The following is a 24,596-nucleotide window of genomic DNA, read 5'->3' as shown; positions in this document are numbered from 1 at the left end:
TGTCCATTGACTTTTTTAGACTTATAAATATATGAAAGGTGAGTTGGTTATATTCAAACTTATAAAATAATAATCAAAATTAATAGAAATTCACTGGCACCATGACTCACGCCTATAATCCCAGCACTTTGGGAGGCTGAAGCAGGCGGATCACTTGAGGTCAGGAGTCCCACACCAGTGTGGCCAACATGGCAAAACCACATCTCTACTAAAAATACAAAAATTAGCCAGGCGTACGAGCATGTGCCTGTAATCCCAGCTACTCGGGAGGCTGAGGCAGGAGAATCCCTGAACCTGAGAGGCAGAGGGTGCAGTGAGCCAAGAGCGCACCACTGCACTCCAGCCTGGGTGACAGAGTGAGACTCCATCTCAGAAAAAAAAATTAATAAAAATTCCTGACTCTTGGCCGGGCGCAGTGGCTCACACCTGTAATCCCAGCACTTTGGGAGGCCGAGGCGGGCAGGTCATGAGGTCAGGAGATCGAGACCATCCTGGCTAACATGGTGAAACCCCGTCTCTACTAAAAATACAAAAATTTAGCCGGGTGTGGTGGCAGGTGCCTGTAGTCCCAGCTACTCGGGAGGCTGAGGCAGGAGAATGGCATGAACCTGGGAGGTGGAGTTTGCAGTGAGCCAAGATCGTGCCACTGCACTCCAGCCTGGGCAACAGAACAAGACTCCGTCTCAAAAAAAAAAGAATGAATGAATGAACAGAAGAAAGAAAAGTAAAAGTATGAGCAATTTTGGGGAGTACCATTTATTTATGCCATATATGAACATACTTACTTTCCAAATGTGGCTTTTTTTATTTTTTAAGGAAATAGACAGAGGCCATAGAAGAAAATGAACCCAAGTAGAAGGGGTGTCAGGATTAAACTGCAGAAGGGATGTTCATGCTTCATTAAAGCAGTCTCTACTTTTTCTTGGGCCCATCACTAGACTGTATTTCCCATCTTCCTTGCAGTAAGCTGCAGCCATGTGACTGAGTTCGGGCCAGAGATATATGGGCAGAAGTGATGAGTGTCACTTCCAGGCCTGGCCCACTAAAACCTCTCATGCATAATCTACCATGCCCTTTACCCTTCTGCATGGTCTTGGAAGAGACACGCTGACAATGGTGGAGCCATAAGATGGAAGGAAGCTGTGAGCTTGAACCACCGCTTAGAGGAGAACCACCTGCTGATTAGAACATCCAGTGAGAAATAAACATGTATGTATTAAGCCACCAAAATACGTTAGTAGCAGCTAGGGTTACATTAACTAATATACAGCTCAAATCTTACCCATGTCCCCCATGCAGCCTCACTCTGGCATTTGCAAACACTGAGTTTTCCCAAGACCATGTCAGAGGTTATAAGTCTAAGTCAATCAACAGACTAATGCAATCAACACACTATACCTGTGTTAGCCCTGTCCATCTCACTCTCATGAATTATTTCACCGACCAGTGATATTCTCACTAGGAGTGCATTATTCCATAAAACAGCATACACCAAGAACACGCTGTCATTTTTTTAAAAAAGGCACAAATTATATTTAGCAAGATACAAGCTCCTAAAGAAATAACGGGCAGAAATTAAACAAACCAATTAGTGTGCCATGGTAGTGCTGCCACAGAGAACGTTCCCTCTACCAACTGGCTGTGAGCTCCATGAGGGCCGGGAGGTGCTTCTTCCTGCCACAGGGCTATTCTCTCTGCCTGAAATGCTCTGCCCCTCCTCACCCTCGTCTTCACTGTCTCCTCCGCCTGGTTATTCCTACTCCTCTTTTAGATTTCAGCACAAGAATTCCTCCCAGGTATCTCTGTTTTACTGTATCAGAGCCCTGTGTACCTTTCCTTCTGTGCAGTTTTACATTTCTTGTAAGAATTTCTTCATAGCACTTGTCTATATCTAAAAATATCCTATTTATTTGAACATGTGTTAATTATCTGTCTCCCTACAACCCTGCCAGGGGCCTTGAATCTTTCATCCACAGCTATCTCTCAATGCCTCCTGCAAGAGAAAGTCCTTAACATATAGGCTGTGTAAATAAAGGAATGTGTTACATATCTTTATTCCCATTTATGTGATTTTATCCAGTCAGTCCAATCACTAGGTTAACTTTTTTCTATTCATATTTTAACATCACATTATAGAAAGATGGACAGCTGTTAATATCGGTGAGATGAAAAATCATAAATTAGATGCTAATAATACAGAATTTAAAACACACTCCATCATTTATTCTTATGCCTGAAAAATGTGTATTTAATGCCTTTTCTGTGCAAGGAACTATGTCAGTTGCCCTAGGGAAATATTAAGATGAATGAAATCAAGTTCCCTGTCCTCAAGCGGTTTACAAATCATGGAGCAGGAGAATATTTTATAACGTTAATGCTGAATTTTTCTCCGGGTTTCCATGGCCCTTGCCCTATTCAGTCAGCAGGACTATTTTGTGTTTCTTGCCTTAGGGAAGGAATGGATGACAAGCAGGAAGAAAATTTCTTTTGAGCTTCAAAGACTACACCCTGTTGGGAATGGAATGGACTCTGGTAATTAACACTTTGGGGGAAAATACATGATAATGTAAGAACAAGGCTTCCTGACCCCACAGGAGATTAAAGTCTCCCAACCAACCTCCAAACAGGATGAACTCCAAGGGAGGGGGAAACAGCAAAAAATTCCAGACAGGTTTGGAAGCTCTGAGAGCTGAGGTGACCCATCCCTAGGGGAACTGTCAAGACCTCAGAGAGGCAGGGCTGCATTAAGGCATCCGGGTGCTAGGCAACCATGCAGAGTTCCCTTGCCCCCAGCATGGTGTGGGGCAGAAGAAGGGTCCCATGGGCCTAAGGGAGATGACAATGCAGGAAGAGCAGAGTTGCAGGACCTAACGAGGTCTTGCAGAGGGAAACAAGGGACAAAGAAGCATACTGTCCAGTCCCTGTGACTAAGGACTGGACAGGATGACATGCATTCTAGTAAATAGACAGATGACACAAGGCAAGAGATCCCATCTTGCCTTGGCCCTAATCCTCTAGAATATAGATGCTGCCCTGAGGCAAAGGGAGTAGGGTGGGGAATGGGATGGTATATTCACAAGCAGAAGGGGAGCTCAGAAAAGAAACTTAGTTATAAGAAAATTAAATTGACTCTGTGGCACTGGGAGTGGCACCTGCTACACAGAATTGAAGAGTTAAGGTTTGTACTAATGTAACTGCCTCTGGGCAGAGATCATCATCATGCTATGACGTGTAAGGACAGCTATGCAGTTGGGGAGCCACAGAAGGCTTCAGGGAGGGGGTGAAATGTGAGCAGGGTTCTCAGGCTGTTAAGAGTTTTCAGAGATGGAGATAGCAAATAGGGAGGTTGGAGAAAAATGCATTTCAGAAATGAGAAATCCTTAGTCAAGGATGCAGGGGCAGGAAAGCTTTGCATACATAAAGCAATAGCTCCTCTGACTTATCTACAGCTCAGGGTATATGCAGGTGAGAGCTCACAATCAGTCACTTAGTGGAGAGCCTTAAGTGACAGACCAAGGAGCCTGGCTACTATGTGGTAGATAATAGGGAATTACTAAAGGTAACTGAGCAGTGGACTGAGACGATCAACGCTGCCTTAAGAATACAGAGCTGTCTGGGCCGGGCGCGGTGGCTCACGCCTGTAATCCCAACACTTTGGGAGACCGAGGTAGGCGGATCATGAGGTCAGGAGATCGAGACCATCCTGGCTAACACGGTGAAACCCAGTCTCTACTAAAAATACAAAAAATTAGCTGGATGTGGCCTGGCGGGGTGGCTCACACCTCTAATCCCAGCACTTTGGGAGGCCGAGACGGGTAGAACACCAGGTCAGGAGGTGGAGACCATCATGGCTAACATGGTGAAACCCCGTCTCTACTAAAAATACCAAAAAATTAGCCAGGCGTGGTGGTGGGCACCTACAGTCCCAGCTACTCGGGAAGCTGAGGCGGGAGAATGGCGTGAACCTGGGAGGCGGGACTTGCAGTGAGCCAAGATCATGCCATTGCACTCCAGCCTGGGAGGCGGAGCTTGCAGTGAGCCAAGATCATGCCACTGCACTCCAGCCTGGGCAACAGAGCGAGACTCCATCTCAAAAAAAAAAAAAAAAACTAGCTGGGCATGGTGGCGGGCACCTGTAGTCCTAGCTACTTGGGAGGCTGAGGCAGGAGAATTGCCTGAACCCAAGAGGCAGAGGTTGCAGTGAGCTGAGATCGCACCACTGCACTCCAGCCTGGGAGACAGAGTGAGACTCTGCCATCTCAAAAAAAAAAAAAAAAGAATACAGAGCTGTCAAGAGTTGGAGGAAAGAGAATGAAGGAGAGGGTGACAGCCCAGGCACTAAGATGTAAGGGACTGGAAGTGCAATTGGAGCTATAGGAATGGACAGAGAGAGGCTGATGGAGACAGGGTTGGGCATCCTTGGCAAGAACTGATGTCAGGGAACAGGGAGGAAGGAGTTAATGATGGATGCTTCTAAGGTTACAAGGATGAGGAGGTGGGGAAAGGCAAGGTTTAGGCCTGAAGTAGAATATGTCAGTTGGAAATATGGATCTGGATTTCAGAAAGAGAGAGAGTAATATCAATAGTTGACCTTTGTTGTTAGAACTAGAAGAATTTTTTTTTCAGAGACAGGGTCTTGCTATGTTGCCCAGTCTGGCCTCAAACTCCTGGGTTCAAGCAATCCTTCTGCTCCAGAGTTACAAGTCACTGGGCTATAGGCACACACCAGAGTTGGAAGGGATTTTAAAGATCCCCTAGACTACTGCTTCTCAAACTTTAAAAGTGTGCATATGAATGTCACTTCAATAAAAAATGTAATAAATTCCCCCCAAAAAAGTATGTCCATCATTGGGGATCTTCTAAAAATGCAGATTCTCATTCAGGAGGTATGGGATGGGGTCTGAGATACTGCATTTCTAACAATTCTCAGGCATGCTGAGGCTGCGGTCCAGAGACCACACTTTAAAGAGTAAAGGACCAGACCAGTATTTCCCCAAGTATAACGTGGATGTGTCTGAGAGCACATATGAGGATTTTAGGTGATTCATAGACATTCTATTTAAAGATCTATTCGCTATTTGCTTATAATAGTGATGTGAAGTTTTCTTTAAATGCATTTAAGTATTAAAAAGTTAATTTGAAGAAATATTAAATAACAATGGAGGAGGCAGGCAATGGTGGCAGAAATTGGGCAGGTGGCCTGCAATTAGTAAAGTCTGGGGCATGCTTGTAGGAAGCTTCTGGGGGTACTTGTAGGAAGAGGGGAAAAATTTTACCCTACTCAGGGTAAAATCCAGTTTAGAGTAAGTAGTGGTGATGCAAGAGGAAAAAATGCTGCTTGATGGAACAAGGTGACTAACAGAGAAGGTGACTGAGCATTTCCGGAGCCTATGAGCATTTCCGGAGCTGTGAGCCCAGCACTGTATTGTAGTGTCATTTACTCTTCATGACTCTATAGATATGTATGTTACCATGATCCTAATGAGGACACTGTGGCTCAGAGAGGTCACCCTAGGTCGCACACCCTGAGCATATGTAAGTATCACAGCCAAGACTTGAATCCAAGTCTGTGTGACTCCAGAGCTGCACGCTTAACTTTTCTCTCAATTACCCTATTCAGCAGGCTGGAGACTTGTACAAAATTCTCTTTTCAATGCTGCTGCTGCTATTTTTCTACTAAGGCAGCTCGGTGTAGCTTTTTTTTTGTTTTTTGTTTTGTTTTGTTTTGTTTTGTTTTTTAAGACAGAATCTTGCTCTATCACCCAGGCTGGAATGCAGTGGCACGATCTCAGCTCATTGCAACCTCCGCCTCCCAGGTTCAAGCGATTCTTGTGCCTCAGCCTCCCGAGTAGCTGGGATTACAGACATGCACCACCACGCCCAGCTGATTTTTGTATTTTTAGTAGAGATGAGGTTTTGCCATGTTGGCCAGGCTGGTTTTGAACTCCTGGCCTCAGGAGATCCACCTGCCTCAATCTCCCAAAGTGCTGGGATTACAGGTGTGAGGTACTGTGTCAGCAAGAATTGTGTGAATGTCACAATTCAGCAAGAATGTCAGCAAGAATTGTGTGAATGTCACAAGAATTGTGTGAATGTGTCAGCAAGAATTGTGTGAACGTCAGCAAGAATTGTGTGAATTCAAATTCATTGAATTCTGTTTTGTAAATCAGGTATTATCATTCTCATTTTCTTTCTTTTTTCTTTTTTTTGAAATGGAGTCTCGCTCTGTCACCCAGGCTGGAGTGCAGTGGCGCGATCTCAGCTCACTGCAAGCTCTGCCTCCTGGGTTCACGCCATTCTCCTGCCTCAGCCTCCCAAGTAGCTGAGACTACAGGCGCCCGCCACCACGCCCGGCTAATTTTTTTCTATTTTTAGTAGAGACGGGGTCTCACTGTGTTAGCCAGGATGGTCTCAATCTCCGGACCTCATGATCTGCCCTCCTTGGCCTCCCAAAGTGCTGGGATTACAGGCGTGAGCCACCGTGCCCGGCCTATCATTCCCATTTTCAAGATGACAAACTGAGGCTTACCAGAGTTACACAATCAGGATTCAACACTTGGGTCTCTCTGACTCCAGGTTCAAGGCTTTTCCAACAAGCCCACCCCAACCCCGCTCCTCTTTGTGTGTTACCGTTGCTAATAATCAGACTTTCCTCCCCAGGCTGGAGTGACTTCCTACCATTTGCCAAACACATGCCCCCCACCTTGCTCTCTGCCCTGGTGGACAGATGACACCGTTTAAACCAATTCAGAGTTTAACCTATAATCTTGGTGTCAGTTGGTGGCTAATAGCTGCCTTGTAAGTTTAATAGGTGCACCAGATCTCCGGCAGGTGCAGACAAACCACAAAGAAACCCACTCTGAATCTCTGCATGCTGGAACTGTCCCTAGATTACAAACCAAACTGCATGTAGCGGTGCCATCAGGCAAGTCTCTTAAGTTTTGTCAGGAATGCTACAAAGACTTTTTAAAAAACCAACCTTTGTTTCAGATGTTACTAAAAGGAAAGGTACTGTAAATAACTCTCACATGGGGCTGATCAATTGCCCTTCTAAACCAAGATCTATTCATACAGCATTGTAACCAAAACCTGAAATACTGTTATTTTGCAAGGAGAGGGCATTCTAGAAGCAAGGATTTAAGTGTCAGACAAATAAGATTTACTCCAGATTCTAGTCAAAATCCCCTTTAATTTATGTTAAACATAGTATTTTAAGCATCACTAATTTTCCCTTCAAACAGGACTTCCATCTAGAAGCCAGGCCTTCTGACTTCCCTTTCCCGTCAATTCCCACAGTTCCCCTCCCTTTCCAGGCTTCCAGGCTACTTTACACAAATGCTTTCATCTCCATCAGTGGCTTTCCTGTTCAATGCATCATGACATTAGCATGGTTTTTCCCATCATTTTCCATCTGGACCCCACTCACCTAACAAAGTTTGCTCATCACTCATAGGCACACAGAGTCTGCAGGAGTGAGAGTAACAGGGCATCATGAAGGGACTGGCCAGGACACAGAAAACCCAAATCCTACCACAAATCAGCCACCCTTCCCCATGAGGCCCCAAGGGAAAGGGGTGCAAGGAGGACAGAGCAAGGCAAAGTAACACCTTATTATTGGCTGGTTGGCCTCTGGCTCTGAGTAGAACCCCAGCAACACTGGCTGGCTTGCGAGCTCCCTCACTGGAGCTAGCGAGGCTTGAGTGCCCCAAGGGGTTTTCTTGAATGCCCACCCCCAGACCCAAATCTGTGCCTCCACCCAGAGCCAGCCACCACAACACACCAGCAAGAAGAACAAGCAAGACAAATGGGGCGACGGACCCAATGCCTAGAACGGAGTAAACCTAGGCCACTCTCCCAGTCCTCTCCAGCCAGAGGAGGGTAAGGGTGGACCCTGGAGAGAATGAATGGGAATGAATGAACAGACAGACAACATGACAAGTGGGCAAAAAAAGAACTGTCAGGCCTTCTTCAATGGGGCAGGCCTCAGTCCAAGTTATTTCTCAGCCTCCTGGGAAGGAGGGCAGACAGAGCAAAAATAGGCCCCATCTCTTACTCTCAGAAGCAGAGAGTGAGGAGACAGCAGGAGAGAGGTCCCTGGAGGGAACAGGAGTCCAGTGCTTAGGGGTCTGGCCACACAAAAGCAGAGTGAGAAAGGCCCCACAAGTCTGCGCATCCAAGGCCGTGGAGCCGAATGCTCCATCCACCTCCCCCAGCCTCCTCAACACAGGCGCACATTCTCACCTGCACCTGTGGGCTGTGGCAACACTTCCTCAATTCCACACCTAGAAGTGGCCAGCTGGGAAGTTAAGGTGCTGAGACGGACCTCCGACTCGTTCTCCTAGAGAACCATGTCACATAGCCGTCTATGCTTCTAAACCTCATTTTTTTGGTTTTATTTTTATCTTTTTCAGCTTTATTGAGGTGTAACTGTTAAAATTGTATATATTTAGGCTGGGCACAGTGGCTCATGCCTGTAATCCCAGCACTTTGGGAGGCCAAGGCAGGCGGATCACCTGAGGTCGGGAGTTCGAGACCAGCCTGACCAACATGGAGAAACCCTGTCTCTACTAAAGAAAATACAAAATTAGCCAGGCGTGGTGGCACATGCCTGTAATCCCAGCTATTAGGGAGGCTGAGGCAGGAGAATCACTTGAACCTGGGAGGTGGAGGTTGCGGTGAGCCGAGATCACGCCATTGCACTCCAGCCTGGGCAACAAGAGTGAACCTCTGTCTCAAAAAAAAAAAATTGTATATATTAAAATAGTATAATGTAATGATTTGATAGATGTAAATATTGTAAATTGATTACCCCAAATTAATTAACATATCCATCACCTGTTTTTTTTTTATGAGGTTTAAGGTTTACTCTCAGCACATTTCAAATATATAATACAGTATGATTAACTATAGTCATATCAGGCTGTACATCAGTGCCTCCAAATCTGTTCATCCTAGGACTGAAAGTTTGTACCCTTTGACCAACATCTCCCCATATCCTCTGCCCCCCACCCAGCCCCTGGCAAATGCTTTTCTGCTGTTTCTATGAGTTTGAAATTTTTTGTTCTGAAATATAAGTTTTTTCCTACAGGTTTGCCCAAGGGGCTAACTGAACAAAAAGAACCTGGAAGGGGCTCAGCCACGTTCCTTCCACCAGCTTCCTGATTCCATGGCGTTTTCATCAAGCAAAACCCAGGTACTCCGCGATGCTGGGCAGAAGGTGGCAAGCGTGGTGGGTAAGAACGCAGGCTTCGAGTCAGATGGCCGGGGGGGTCACACACCAGCTCTGCCACTTACTATGTGGTGACCTTGAGCAAGTTAGTAAACCTGTCAGTGTCCTCATCTATGAAACAGGCAGAGCAATAGTAGCAACCTCAGAGTTGGCTGTGAAGCTCAGATGAGACAATCCATGTAAAACACTGAGCATAGTGCCGGACACATAGTGAGCATGCAGTAAAAGCTGGCAGCCGCGATGATGATGGTGGCACTGTTATTATATTATCACTACGACTATAAGAATAATAGGCCAGGCGCGGTGGCTCACGCCTGTAATCCCAGCACTTTGGGAGGCCAAGGCTGGCAGATCACAAGGTCAGGAGATCGAGACCATCCTGGCTAACATGGCAAAACCCCATCTCTACTAAAAATACAAAAAATTAGCCAGGTGTGGTGGTGGGCACCTGTAGTCCCAGCTACTCGGGAGGCTGAGGCAGGAGGATGGCATGAACCCGGGAGGCAGAGCTTGCAGTGAGCTGAGATCACACCACTTCATTCCAGCCTGGGTGAGAGAGTGAGATTCCGTCTCAAAAAAAAAAAAAAAAGAATAGCATCAATAGCATCAATATTGACCTGCGCTGTCAGAGCTGGAAGGAATTTTAAAGATCCCCAAACCAGTGGTCCCCAACCTTTTTGGCACCAAGGGCCGGTTTTGCAAAAGACAATTTTTCCAAGGTCCAGGGGGTTGGGGGGATGGTTTTGAGATGATTCAAGTGCGTTACATTTATTGAGCACTTTATTTCTATCATTATTACATTGTAACATATTAATGAAATAATTATACAACTCACCATAATATAGAATCAACAGGAGCCCTGAGCTTGTTTTCCTGCAACTAGATGGTTCCACCTGGGGGTGATGGGAGACAGTGACAGATCATCAGGCATTAGATTCTCATAAGGAGCACAAAACCTAGATCCCTCACATGCGCAGTTCACAACAGGGTTTCGCTCTCACAAGAATCTAATGCCACCACTGAACTGACTGAGGCAGGGCACAGGTGGTAATGTTCACCTGCCCACTGCTCATTTTCTGCTGTTTGCCCGGTTCCTAACAGGGTCTGCAGCCCAGGGTTTGGGGACCCCTGCCCTAGACCGTTGCTTCTCAAACCTTACTCCAGCTTCACTCTAGATTGCCATGGCTTCTAGGGGCAATGGAGTGTCCACTTTCCTGCTTGTTCCTTTTGCTTCTCTGCAACTGCTGACCCTTGTCTACCAAGGTGCATTCAAAGTCTTTCTTCACATCACCACAGACTCTCTCACACATGGTGTGTTTGGAGCAAGGTTAATGGGCGATAGGAGCTCTTCATTGTGAAAACCACAAATAGTTAACCAAATGCCCAACTCACCTCTTTGTCTCCCCACCTCCACTGCATTATATGAATTTCTTTGAAGGGAAAACATGGATTTGCTCAGCCTTCTTCTAGTTCATTTACTCATACTCCTACCTCCAATAAATACTCTGGTAGTTGTTACCATATTTGAAGAAATGCTACAAGCAGAATTGTTAAAAATAGTAACAGAACAGCGATTTATACCTTAAACAAATCATTCCAACAGATGGGACTTAAAGCATTTATTATCCCTCTCTGGTCTGGGACTTTTCAAACACTGCATTTCCAGCCGGCCAAACTGGGAGCTATTTGATAGTACCTCTCTGACCAATTACATACTAATTAAAAGAACTTGGTGTGGGCTGGAGGGAGCAGCTTTGCATATGGACTTTAATTACTGGGCTCCAGTTTTGCCAAGAAAACACAAAGGGCTTTTTTGGCTGGAAGCTGCGGCTTAGAATGAACATATGGCTTGCGTGGGAGGGGAGGGTTGAGAGTGTAATCCTAAACAGGAAGTGGAGTATTTCCCCCCCTCCGTAATCTCCTGGAAGTAACTATGTACCAGGGTCATCCAAAATCCCTGATTCAGTGCCCGGAACAAAGGGCAGCCTGAGTGGGCAGTGAGCTGCCACTCTGGACCTGTCATTCAATCCTGGGGTCATCTCTGGATCAGGATTCTTTCTTGCCCCTCTGGCCTTTTCCTGTTGTTTTTTGGATCAGAACCTCATGTCTCTTCCCAGGTTTCACAGAGCCTGGGGTAGCCCAGTATTAATTTTTGGCTCCCCAGAATCCATTTCCCTGTCTCCTAGTTATGTCATCCCAAACTCCCCAGTGCTCAAGGCTCAGGCAGGGCTATACCTCGGGCTCCAGGGAGGAGCATGTGGCCCAGTACTGATCAATTTAATCCCTCTGGCCACAGTGTCTGATTCAAGGATGAGTGTTTGCCCTGAACCAGTACAATCAGCATGACGCTCAGGACGTGTGTGGGAGCTCACACTTGGGTAGCTATGTTTTTCTGTGCAATTTGGGGATTGAAAGGTGATGACTGGAGGTGTGGCAGTCATCTTGCTGCCATAGGAAGGAGCAGACCTGAAAATGGAGACAACCCACGGGAAGGGGGGGGAGAGAGAGAGAGACACACACACACACACGCACACACAAAAAGCACTGGAATAGCATCTGAGGTCCAGGATTAAGCTATTGCTGAATGAATCCACTCACGACCTTTCAGTATTGTAAGCCAATGAATTCCTTTTATGCTTAAGCTGGCTTCAGTTAGGTTTTCTGTCCATTTGCAACTAAAATCATCCTATCTGGTAGCAATAAGATCAGGAGGCAGAAGTTAAAACAACAACTATTCAATCTAACAGAGATCCAGCCTACCAAGAACACACTTGCTAAAGCCTCTGTGGAGCCATGGAGACCTCGGCCAGAGTCAAAGAATTATAGAGGTGGAAGAGACCTTGGAGACAACACATCCTGTTCAACCACCATTGCTGACTTTCTTTCTCTAAGTGGGTATGTACCTGGAGGTCCAGGGAGGAAGGACAGCACATAGTAAGCAAGAGGCAAATTCTTCTTCCCCTTGCTGCCTCAATGCCTTGTATGAGGCTGTTGCTCAATAAAACCTTTTTGACTAAACATTACAGACCCAGTCACCAATAACCAACCTCTCTCTCAAACATGCAGCTAGTAAACAGCATTTTTTTTTTTTTTTTTTTTTTTTTACAGCATCTCACTCTGTCACCCAGGCTGGAGCTCAGTGCTGAGATCTCAGCTCACTGCAACCTCTGCCTCCTGGGTTCTAGCAATTCTCATGCCTCAGCCTCCTGAGTAACTGGGATTACAGGCGCATGCCACCATGCCTGGCTAATTTTTGTATTTTTAGTAGAGACGGGTTTTCACTATGTTGGCCAGGCTGATCTCGAACTTCTGACCTCAGGTGATCCACCCACCTTGGCCTCCCAAAGTGCTGGGATTAAGATGTGAGCCACCACGCCGGGCCTGCTTTTCTTTTTACAAGGCATGTATCTCTTCCAATAATTCCCTGAGTGGATTACTTTCACCTCCTACAGCAGTTTGTCTCTCCTTCCGTTTCTTTGCTTGACACTACCTTCTCATTTCTTTCTATTCTCTATTTTGCCCTTTCCTTTTTTGCTCAAAACTTTTCTTTACTTCTTGATTCCACATTACCTATGGGCACTTAAGAATCTACACATTGTTGGCCGGGCACGGTGGCTCACGCCTATAATCCCAGCACTTTGGGAGGCCGAGGCGGGCAGATCACGAGGTCAGGAGATCGCAAACATCCTGACTAACATGGTGAAACCCCGTCTCTACTAAAAATACAAAAAATTAGCCGAGCGTGGTGGTGGGCGCCTGTAGTTCCAGCTACTCAGGAGGCTGAGGCAGGAGAATGGCATGAACCTGGGAGGTGGAGCTTGCAGTGAGCCGAGATTGCACCACTGCACTCCAGCCTGGGCGACAGAGCGAGACTCCATCTCAAAAAAAAAAAAGAATCTACACGTTGTTCACTTCTCCATCCTTTAACTTCTACTGAAACCCTGAATCACCTATCCGTCGTCACCCATCCTCTAACCTATCCTCACACATAGTTCGACTGCATTAAAAACAGCTATTTTTTTTTACACCCTGTCCCCAAGCAAACATGCATACACACACACACACACACCCGCTAAAATCAATTTCTCACAACTGAGTTATCAACATCTTTACGAGAGCCAAGGGATATTTCTTCCTAGAATCAGATCTCGCAGCCACCCAAGATATTTTTACATGGTTCAGGATGGTAGTGGAAAGTAAATCTAATTGTCCATTTCTTGGCAATGCCTTGTAGGACATGATCAGTTATTTAAACTTCCTGTGACTAAATTCCCCCTATTTCTGTGACAGATTAATGCCATTTGCCAGCATATAATGTTAGCCAAGTTCTGGTAACACACAGAGGGAAAGCTTCACGTAAACCTTAAGCAAAGTTATTACTCTCTGGAATCCAGTATGTAATTGGCACTCCTTAAGAATTACAATTATTATTTTTATATTCCTTTTAGAGTGTCTTAGGAACTTACAGGTCTTCAGAGAAAAAGCTGTGGGATTTTGGATGAGAGTCACAAAATCATTTGCTCTCTAGTCCAAGTGAAATCTTTTGTTAGAACTTTGGACTGGGAAGGTGGAAAGTTAATTCAGGATATAAAATAAACAAGTGATACCTTGAATCTATGCAGCCTCCCATTGCAAAAATCGGCAACTGCTCCCACGTAGCACTTAAACCTCAGTGCCTTCTTTTACTGGAAGTTGTTCTGAAGAAAGGAATACAAATAAAGAAAAATTTAAAGAAAATGTATGATGGGTACAAATTCTAGGCTTCCTTTCTTATTCCCATTGTTAATATAACTCTATTTAGACAAGTTCCCTACTTTCTTATTCAACTTCAAAACTGTAATTACTTACAGAACTGAAAAAAAAAAATCTACCTTTCCCAGCGTCACTTCTTTACTCTCTTTGGAAACAAGTCTGTGTACCTTCTCAGACACCCTCCGCTGCTTCCTTCTTCCTTTCTCTCTAGGCCAGGATCCCATCTGTCCTGGTTGCCCCTCTACCCCTAATGGTCTGAGGTCCAGCTTCCTGAGAGGCCACTGAGAGGATGGGTGATACAACCCTGAGCCCCCAAAGAGTGCTTTACCAATGAGAAACAGGAGCAGGGGCAGAGTGGGAAAGAGCTGGATTCCTGTTTCCTTCTTTCTCCCGCTATGCTAAGGCCGGATTCCTCCAGTAAATTGTCTGGAAGAGCCCTGCATGCTGAGTGACCTGCTTGATCCTTCATGGCTTATTTGGAAATGATAGCCAGCAGAAAAAAAAGAAAATGAAAGAAATTCATGTATCCCGTTGTCTCTCCCTGTGCCCCACACACCCTCACCCTGCGATTTCACCTCCCAGATGAAGTTTTAGCACCAGGGTCCTTGCCTCCGACTCTGCTTTCTGGAGGACCAAAGCTAAGATGTTTATTTTCTCTAGACCAGCATTTTTCAAGGCGTGATCTGCAGACCACCTGCATCAGAATCCTCTGGGGTTCCTGCTAAAAAGGCAGATTTCCAGGTCTACTTTAGAGATTCAGATTCGGTAGGCCTGCGGTGGATCCTAGGAATCTGCATTAACAATCTCCAAAGTTGACTCCTAAACACTATAGAACATGAGAACCACTGGTCCAAATTCCTCCAGTGTCTCCCAAGCTCTGCGAATAGGACTCTGTGGTCACCCAGGCTAGAACTGCAGCACGTGCCCCTTTATCCCTCATTCTTGCTGGGTCCTACTGATATTTACCAATGTAATATCACCAGCTTCTGCACCTGCTCTCTGTTCTCCAATCCCACTGTCCCCATTTGGGCTTATCTCCTATTACCTGGACTATCATCAAAGCTTCCTAAATAGGCTCCCCAGTTACCTTCCAAAACAACACTAAAATCAGGGATAAGGCTGCGAATTTCCTAGAGCATCTAGAAAAGCACAGTACAAGAAGCGGGTATGCAACTTATCAGAGAGATGTATGAAGTCCCTGAGGTGATGTGCCTTCAGCTGGATACAGTCAGGCCTGTGCTAGATTTGTGATCCTGCCCATTTGCTGTGTTTAGTTCTTATATCATTACTACACTTGTTTTACTGATCATGACAACATGTATGGTCAACTCCATGTGAGGAGAGGTCAGCTCATCTATATCTGTGCAATCCTATATATCTAATGGGGCACACTGCACACAATGGGTGCTTTACACAGGCTACTGACAGTCAAGATAACAGGGATATAAAATTCATTTTCTTTTTTTTCCTCCCTTTCAACCTTCCCAGACCCATGTCACTCAATCTCGCTTCTGAATTGATAAACACTTCTAACATAGCTTGAAAACTCTCCTAGGCTCTCTTCTGCAAGATTTTGGTCAAAATCCATTTAAGTGCACCTGTGTTCTGTTTATTTCCTTCTTCACTGTCTATTCTGACATGAGAAACTGAATGTTCTTCCTTATAAGGACACAAATTATATTGCTTAACTGTGATAATTATAACTAACATTTAATAAGCACTTACCATGATCTAAGCCCTTTCCAGGCATTTCTTCATTTAGTCTTTTTTTTTTTAAGACAGGGCCTCACCATCACCCAGGCTGCAGTGCAGTGGTGTGATCATAGCTCACTGCAGCCTCAACCTCCTGAACTCAGATGATTCTCCCACCTGAGCCTCCCAAGTAGCTGGGACCAGAGGCACATGACACTGTGCCAGGTCAATTTTTTTATTTTTTGTAGAGACAAGGTCTTTTATGTTGCCCAGGCTAGTCTTGAACTCCTGGGCTCAAGCCATCCTCCTGTCTCAGCCTCCCAAAGTGCTGGGATTATAGGTGTGAGTCAGTGCACCTGGCCTCATTTAGTCCTTTTGAAAGCCCTAACAGGTAGGTACTTGTATTGGCCCAAGATGAGATTTGGGTGGGGACACAGCCAAACCATATCAGTACTATTTTTATCCACCTTTACAGATAAGGAAACTGAGGCTTGGAGAAATTATAACTAGCCTTCAGAAAGTCCTGGAGGTTGTCTGATTACAAGGTCTAGGATTATAACCATTCTGGTACCTTCTTTCCTCACTGCCTGATGATGCACAGTGATTTTCCACAGTGTAGCTACCAAATATGAATTTCTCAAGCTGAACAACTGTCCACATTCATGGCTGACAGAAGTCACCCCACAATGAGAGCAGGTTACTAGCCTCACAGTCTTGGTCCTCTGCCTACTCTCAACCAACCTTCTGGTTTTTGCAGATCTACCTGTGCCGTCCCACTTGCCATATGGTTCTGTCATTTCATTTGACAGAATGACATTTCATTTCTAGATAATATATGCAGTCTTCATATTTGACGTGTCTTGCAAGTATTCATGCCATATCAAGCCAGGAGCTCATTTCCCTCCCAATACTTCTACAAACATCCTCCAATTCCATCTACCCCAAAGCCCTGCTTCACACTCTCATCCTAGCATCTAAACCACTACAGAAACATGTCTCACAGCATCCTAGTGACTCAGAATCCCCACGACAGAATCCTGTGTGGCCACTTGACAGTTTTCTTCTTTGAAATCGCCTTAATTGGCCCTCAAATCTCCCAGTGAACAGTTCTCTCTTCTCAGTAACTCCGTGGGGACTCCATATCCTTTTCTATATGCTTCTTTGTCCTTCTGAGCCTTTAAAACTAACCAAGATTTGAGCTGAAGTGTGAGGTTAATTAACTGGCTTTGGCATGCCACTTGATTCATCAAGACATAGGCCTATCCCCCTGTTTTTAACAGGCCTGAGTCATCCCATGATGGTACTATTCCCTATTCCTAGATCCTTAGGTGATGATAACTGCCCTCCACCCCAAGCTTGATTTAACATTTAAGCTTGGCTTTCCAGCTATCTTGGTCTCCCCATGCCTGCACACCTGGAACCATTCACAAAGTGGTAGCTGAAATTTCCACTAATTCAAATGGAATGCTAGGGATGGAGGCCATTGGGATGCCCTCAGCTTATCTCAAGACACAGGGCAAGGAGCAGTTCTAATCTAAGAAGCGCATGTGTCAACAAACCTAAAGAGTGCCCACTGGGGGCAGAGCCCTGAGCTAGGTGTACTGGAGCAGCCCAGCTATGTATATGGTTGCCCTGAGGCATGCACAGACATCATGGACAATGCTATGGACTGAGTCGTGTCTCCCCAAAATCCACATGTTGAAGTCCTAACCCCCAAAATGACTATTAGGTGATAGGGTCTTTAAGAGGTAACTGAAGTTAAATGAAACCATAAGGATGAGGTCCTAACTGAATAGGACTGGGATCTTTATAAAAAAAAGAGAGAGAGATTGAACTCTCTCTTTCTCCACCATGTGAGGACACAGCAAGAAGGTGGCTGTCTGCAAGCCAGGAAGAGAGCCCTCACCAGAAACTGACCATGCTGGACTTCCCAGGCTTCAGAACCATGAGAAATAAAATTCTATTCTTTTAGCCACCCAACCTATAATGTTTTGTTATGGCAGCCTGAGTTGACTAACACAGCAAACTCTTATGGCCACATCTAGTCAACATGGCTGATGGGAAACAACAGGAATTCAGAGACATTACTCTCCTTATCTGCCTAGCCACTCTACTTGGAAAAGGTACAGAAATCAGGGAAGGAAGCAAGCAAACTGGAGAGAAACACATGTGAAAATGATTCCATCCACCAATTAGCATTTATGGAATATTGTATACCATTATAAATTCTTTTCAAACAAGATATATTCATATTTGTTTATAAATGCATGGAAGAAAGATCTGGAAAGGTATACACTAAATGAATAAAGTTTGATGGAGTAGAGAGTGGTGAGAGCAGCAGTGGCCTGTCTGGAGCAGCCACTGCCATGACACTGGCTGCAGTGGGGGAGATGCAGCCAGGGCTGTGCACTTCACAGAGCTGGTGGAAGCCAGAAACAGGCAGAAGCTCCAACCCTTCCGAGTTGGAGGGGTGGGAGCCCCACCCTCCCAGGTGCAGCTGCAGCCACCCAGCCACAGCTGTGGACCTGGGCATCTCTGCACTTTTGGGGGCCTGAGAAGGCTCCTTTCCCCTGCAGGCTCAGAAGCACCTCCTCCCACTGCCTAGCCTCTCCTCACTCTCAGCACCTGCACCAATTTCAGAGTGAAGCTGAGGCCATGCCCAGGCACTGTCACAACCCAGGACACTTAGGGTAGTGCTGACACACCAGCCTCCTGTTTCCTCAGCCTCCTCTGGACTTTGGGTGCTGATAAGCACAGGAGGGAGGCTGAGCAAGGTGTGAGGGCCTGCAGGCACCCATCAGCATGAACAGCCTGGGCACCATGGACAGCAGCAGGAGGCAGACAGGTTCCCAGCCAAAAAAAGGTGGGTCCCCAGTGAAACCCCACCTTCAGGCCAGGGATGGCCTGGGGGCCGGGCTGCCAGTTCTGCAGACTCAAGTGAGAACTTACAGTGCTTTTTCCAGGCCTGCTCATGGCTGCCCAAGGACCAATCAGCATGCACTTCCTCCCTTCTGAAGCCCATAAAAACCCCAAACTCAACCAGACTTTGACAGAAGTCAGGAGGACCTGTCTGCAGAGAGGAGCTACCCACTGTGGGTCTCCTCTCAGCAGAGAGCTGAATGAACTTGTCAGGATGCCCCCCAACCTGCAGAGAGGAGCTACCCTCTGCAGGTCTCCCCTCCACTGAGAGCTGTACACTTGTCAAGATGACCCGCCTGCGGATGGGAGCTTCCCATTTCAGGTCTCCTGAAAACTGTTCTGCTGCTCAGTGAAGCTCCTCTCTGCCATGCTCACTCTCCAGTTGTATGTATACCTCACTCTTACTGGACATGGGACAAGAACTCGGGACCTGCCAAATGACAGGACTGAAAGAGTTGTAACACAAATAGGGCTGGAACACGCCCCCTGCTCACCACATTGTAGATGACGAGGAGAAAAGAGCTGCAGCCCTTAGGGGAGCCCAGACTTAGAGTTTCCCAAGCGAGGACTGTGACGCCCTCTTTGGGGTTCTGTGGTTCCTGGTGTTTACAAGCTTCTGGGTGCCACCACGTTCCCCTCATCAAGACACAGGTGCCCATAGCAGAAGCTGCATGCAGTACATCTGGTCCAGCCACAGCCTTGCACAGAGCCAACACCTATGTTGGTGCCTGTAGGTGCCTGCCTTGCCACAGCAGCCAATGTGCCTGGCTGTGCACAGTGGCCAGACCCCGCACTTGCTCACCCACACACCCCTCACTGCTCTGCACCTGGCTCACCCTTGGCAGGTGTGGATCCAGCCCATTAGCGTGAGCCAAGCCCTGCCTGCCACACCGAGTAGACAGAATGAACCCAGTGGGTGCAAGTAATACTCAGGCAGATGGCACCACTGGCCACAGAGGTTTCTGGCTGGCGAAGAGACCCCCCAAGGATCCCTGTGACAGTGGAAAGGGGAGGGGAGGAAAAAAACAAGGAGGCTGATGAAGAGGGGCTTTTACTGATGTAAAATTATTTTAACACATTCACCTGTATAGGGGAAAACACACACTTTTGCAAATATCTGCCAAATCAGGAAGAAATGCAGCATGCAAGGCATTGTGGGCCTGCTTTCCTGTTTGACAGGTGTATTAGTCCATTCTTGCATTTCTGTAAAGAAGTATCTGAGACTGGGTAATTTATAAAGAAAAGAGGTTCAACTGACTCACAGTTCCATAGGCTGTATGAGAAGCATGGCTACGGAGGCCTCTGGAAACTTACAATCATGGCAGAAAGTGGAGGGGAAGCAGGCACGTCTTACATGGTTGGAGAAGGAGGAAGAAGGTGAAGGGGGAGGTGCTACACACTTTTAAATAGCCAGATCTCATGAGAACTTACTATCATGAGAAAAGCAAGGGGGAAATCTACCCCCATGATCAAACCACCTCCCATCAAACCCCTCCTCCAACACTGGTAGTTACAATTCGACGAGATTTGGGCAGCGACATAAATCCAAACCATATCAGCAGGTGATCCTACTCCCCAGACTTTTTCTCTGGGACACGGGACTATAACCACTTTCAAGGTGCTGAGAGCTGTCTATCCTATTAATGACTATATCCCCAGTACCTAGCATGTACCTGGCACATAGTAAATGCTCAAACATTGGGTTGCTTGCATACGTGAATACATGAATGCATGAATAAATTAATGGGGGATGGAGCAGAACCAAATAATAAAGTTCTTTGGGAAGGTCTAACCTGGTCAGGAGAGTTAATTAAAGCCTCAGAACACAAATCTGTGTGACTTTGTGGAAGAAGGCATGAGTGTGGGGCAAGTGGGGAATCTGTATGACTTCAAGTTTTAAATAATTCAAGGGACTTTAGGTGGTATATGGTCTAAGAAAAGGGTCAGACAGACTGGGGTTCTTGGAGTAGAGCCCAAGATTCCAGTATTGAAAGACAGACTAATGTCTTTAACAAGAGTATATGCCCCGCTGTGCTACCAGACAACCAAGAACCGCACGAGTTCTCATGTGCTTCTCATACAGACCTGCCTACCTAAAACATGAAAGGGTCTTGATAGAAATGACTTGCTTCATGTCATATTGAGACTCAGCATAGCATGAAGGTTAAGAACACAGGCTCTGGCCCTAGACTACCTGGATTAAAATCCTGGCTTCATAACTTAGTAGAGATAGTTAACTTTCCAATGCTCCAGTGTCTCCACTTGTAAAATGAGGATGGTCAGAGTACCTGGTTTATAGAAGAAACTCGGAATGGTGCCTGGTCCTAGGAAAGAAGGGAGAAGTAAGGAAACCTCAGTTGATAAGAAGACAGCCAAGTGAAATCATGTGACTTTACTTGTGCAGAACTCATCATTCCAAGTTATAGAAACAAAATAACTTGCATTAAAACCTACATTGTTTTTTGAGACAGGGTCTTGCTATGTTGCCAAGGCTAGAGTGCAGTGGCATGATCACAGCTCACTGCAGCCTCAACCTCCCAGGCTTGATCATCCTCCCACCTCAGCCTTCCAAGTAGCTGGGACTACAGGCACATGCCACCACACTTGACTAATTTTTGTATTTTTTAGAGAGACAGGGTTTCACTATGTTGCTTAGGATTGTCCTGAACTCCTGGGCTCAAGCAATCCTCACACCTTGGCCTCCCAAAGTGCTGGGATTACAGTTGTGAGCTACCACATCCAGCCTAAAATCTACATTTGATACATCATTGCAATGATCTTTAGATGTGTCTATGTGGCTAAATACATGGGCATCAACCTTTTTGTGACACACACCTTCTCCTAGTTATTCAATCAAACCCTAACCTAGGTGCTGCTGTGAAGGGATTTTATAGATGTGATTAAAGGCCCTAATCAGTTGACTCTAATCTAGGGAGATGATATTCGATGGGCCCAACTCAATCAGGTGAGCCATTAAAAGGGATTGAGCTTTTCCTGGTAAAAGAGATTCCAACAGCAGGTGGATCCACAATTGCTTTTCCTTCACTGGATTTTCCCTATTTGGCTGCCTGTGGACAAGCTTCAGCAATGCCCATGTGATTCTTCCTTCCTGATAGTATGCCCTGTGGGTTTCAGGCTTACTTAGCCAAGCCCCACAATTATGTAAGCCAATTCCTTGTCATACGTTTATTAAAACATGTATCTCCTACTGGTGTTGCTTCTCTGCTTGACTTCTGACTGATACATTTCTCAGAAGTGTTAACTTGAGGGTGCAATGAACCACTTCCCCTTTTCCAAATCAAGCATATTAAGGATCAAAGGGCTGAATATGAGCACCAGTACACAGTCAATTCTTATAACTCGCAGTAGTTATGTTCCATAAAGTGACTGCAAACACTGCATTGGCAAATATTAAACCATTTCTCCCAAGGGAAATACAGAAGGAGGTTTCTTAAAGCCTCTAGCCAAACGGATCAACATTTTTTGTCAACTGATCAATACATCGATGTGCTTTATGTATGTTTCTGTTTAAAGACAACTCACTCAATACATATTTTTATTCATTAACACTGAACTCAGCCAGCAGCACTAAAACTCAAGCCTGAACAAAGCTTATCTAACACATGTATTTTCTTTGCAAGGCACATCACAGCCTTCTGGAGCTTGGGAACACTAGACAGCACAATGCCTGGGGGCCATTTAAACAGCAAAATCAAGGCCAGGAGTGGTGGTGTGCACCTGTAGTCCCAGCACTGTGGGAGGCTGAGGCAGGAGGATTGTTGAGGCCAGGAATTCAAGGTTACAGTGAGCTACGATCACACCACTGCATTTCACATCAGCCTGGACAAAAAAGCAAGACCCTGTCTCAAAAAATTTTGAAAATAAAAATAAAAAATGAACAACAAAATCGCTAACAAAAAGCACAAAAACGTGAAAAACACAGCACACGCAGAATACTAAGAGGACACTTGACCACAGTATGAGGGCTGAAAAGTGAAGGCAGAGTGTCTTGTTCCAACTCAGCTGGGACCATGTGAACTGAGTGACTCAAATTTTGTTCTGGTCCCATGATGTCCACAAATGAACACAAAAGCGCTACAAATATGGATTTTTGGAGTTACAGGTAAATGTTAACAAGTAGGTGAATGTGCAAATATGGCCTCTGTGAATAAAGAGGATCAGCTGTTTTTGTTTTTTTTTTTTTTTTTTTTTTGAGATGGAGTCTGGCTCTGTCGCCCAGACTGGAGTGCAGTGGTGCAATCTTGGCTCACTGCAAGCTCTGCCTCCCACATTCAAACGATTCTCCTGCCTCAGCCTCCCGAGTAGCTGGGATTACAGGCACCCGCCACCACCCCTGGCTAATTTGTTTGTATTTTTAGTAGACATGGTGTTTCACCATGTTGGCCAGGCTGGTCTTGAACTCATGATCTCAGGTGATCTACCCGCCTCGGCCTCCCAAAGTGCTGGGATTACAGGCATGAGCAACCATGCCCAGCCGATCAGCTGTATTTTTCACTCTTTCCCCTTTAAAAAGATTTTTCTTCTCTTCCATCCCAAGCATTAATTTCTCCAGTTTGAATCCACCCTCATCCACCTCCTTTTCTTTTCTATTTTGTCCTCATCTTTGGCCCTCACAAGTGACGCTGGACCTTCTCTGTTTCCTGCTCTTCATCTCTGCAGAAGAATGGCAAAAAGATGACCAGATCCGAGGCTGTGCCACGTTCAAGGCAAGAGGGCCTGGGTGAAAGCAACAGCAGAGAAGACAGAGAGGGAAACCCAGAAGGGGTCGACCCTTTCTTGATAAATGCTGAGAGCTGGAGGTTTAGGAAGGAGGAGTTGAAGGTGACTATAGTTTTTAATTTCACAAATCCAGCAAATGCTGAGGACCTGTGCTTGTGACCAAGAATACGAGAGATGGCAGTCTCTGAGGAAAGGCAATGAATTCTATTTGGGATGCATTAAGTTTGAAGTGCCCACAATATCCAGATGGTATATGTATCCATCAGTGCACTTGGTTGTAGAGAAATGAAAGCAACTCAGGCTAATTCAAGCACAAGAGGAAATTACTAGAGGATATCTGGCAATTCTTGTAATTTCCAGAACAGCCAGAGAACCAAGGTTGGCCCCTTTACAGCCAGGAGCAAACATCGAATTCATTCCGGACCTCAGCCAGTGAGGAGCCCCTTGTTGATACCGCTGGAAACTGACTCTAGCTCACAGCCCTGGCTTGGGCTCTGCTTCCAGAATCCTGCCACTGTCATCCTCACCAGGAGAGATCTGTGTGGGCCCCGATTCTAATCGGGATCAGAGCACGGGCTTCTGACAGGTGGGGCCTGAGCCACATGCCTGCATTCTCGCTGCCAGTATGGGAAGGATTACTCTGGAGTGGGAAGTGCGTTCAGTCCCATAAGGTGCAAGATTCCCAACACATAGAATAATGTTCAGATATTGGGTCATCAGAAAGACTAACAAATGTTCACCACTTATATTCAGAAGGGTTAGAAACAGGAACAGTAATAACAGCTTGCACTTTTAAGCGTTTACTGTGTGTCAGGCACCATACAAACTGCTCAACATGCATTTAGAGTTTAAATTGTACAAAGTATGAAGTGGATATAGGGAAGCGATCCCGGCAGAACAGGGCAATTTACTGCGCTGGTGAACTACCCCAGTTTTTCCAGGACTGAGGGGTTTCCCAGCAAGCAGGACTTTTCAGTGCCAAGACAGAAGATCAGATCAAGAAGATCTTAGGGAGAAAGGACAGCTGGTCAGCCCGGTCTCATCAGAAAATCCTGGGTCCAAATTCTAGCTTGTCCACCTGAGCCACGTAACCTAACTTATTTGAATCTCAGTTTTCTCCATTATAAACTAGGAACAACAAAAGTACCTCCCTCACAGAGTTGCTGTGGAGGATTAGAGATATGTGTGATGTATAGAGCCCATCATCAGGTATGGCTTTTTTTGTTTGTTTTTTGTTTTTGAGACAGAGTTTCACTCTTGTTGC

General features: G+C 45.8%; 1 long non-coding RNA gene across 1 annotated transcript in view, besides 4 other annotated features; it reads right to left on the bottom strand.

Moving 5' to 3' along the window:
• Window positions 1,195–1,705: an enhancer, noted in NCBI's record as "H3K27ac hESC enhancer chr5:141855756-141856266 (GRCh37/hg19 assembly coordinates)". NCBI's record gives its function as "activates a minimal SCP1, AML or CMV promoter by ChIP-STARR-seq in naive H9 embryonic stem cells {active_cell/tissue: H9 hESC(naive)}" and the evidence as "EXISTENCE:reporter gene assay evidence [ECO:0000049][PMID:30033119]".
• Window positions 2,260–2,827: an enhancer, noted in NCBI's record as "OCT4-NANOG-H3K27ac hESC enhancer chr5:141854634-141855201 (GRCh37/hg19 assembly coordinates)". NCBI's record gives its function as "activates a minimal SCP1, AML or CMV promoter by ChIP-STARR-seq in primed H9 embryonic stem cells {active_cell/tissue: H9 hESC(primed)}" and the evidence as "EXISTENCE:reporter gene assay evidence [ECO:0000049][PMID:30033119]".
• Window positions 2,828–3,396: an enhancer, noted in NCBI's record as "OCT4-NANOG-H3K27ac-H3K4me1 hESC enhancer chr5:141854065-141854633 (GRCh37/hg19 assembly coordinates)". NCBI's record gives its function as "activates a minimal SCP1, AML or CMV promoter by ChIP-STARR-seq in naive H9 embryonic stem cells {active_cell/tissue: H9 hESC(naive)}" and the evidence as "EXISTENCE:reporter gene assay evidence [ECO:0000049][PMID:30033119]".
• Window positions 5,298–5,592: an enhancer, noted in NCBI's record as "tiled region #9292; HepG2 Activating DNase unmatched - State 8:EnhW". NCBI's record gives its function as "activates a minimal TATA promoter and a strong SV40 promoter by Sharpr-MPRA in HepG2 cells {active_cell/tissue: HepG2}" and the evidence as "EXISTENCE:reporter gene assay evidence [ECO:0000049][PMID:27701403]".
• Window positions 13,842–24,596, bottom strand: part of SPRY4-AS1 (SPRY4 antisense RNA 1) — a 138,762-nt gene continuing 128,007 nt past the window's right edge. Inside the window, exon 4 of the long non-coding RNA NR_120664.1 lies at window positions 13,842–13,926. This is a non-coding gene — a long non-coding RNA (SPRY4 antisense RNA 1). The remainder of the gene's footprint in view (window positions 13,927–24,596) is intronic.

Source organism: Homo sapiens, chromosome 5 (genome assembly GCF_000001405.40).
Source record: "Homo sapiens chromosome 5, GRCh38.p14 Primary Assembly".
Taxonomy (NCBI): domain Eukaryota; kingdom Metazoa; phylum Chordata; class Mammalia; order Primates; family Hominidae; genus Homo; species Homo sapiens.
The sequence above is the reverse complement of the archived record's forward strand: the minus strand, read 5'-3'. Positions and strand labels throughout refer to the sequence as shown.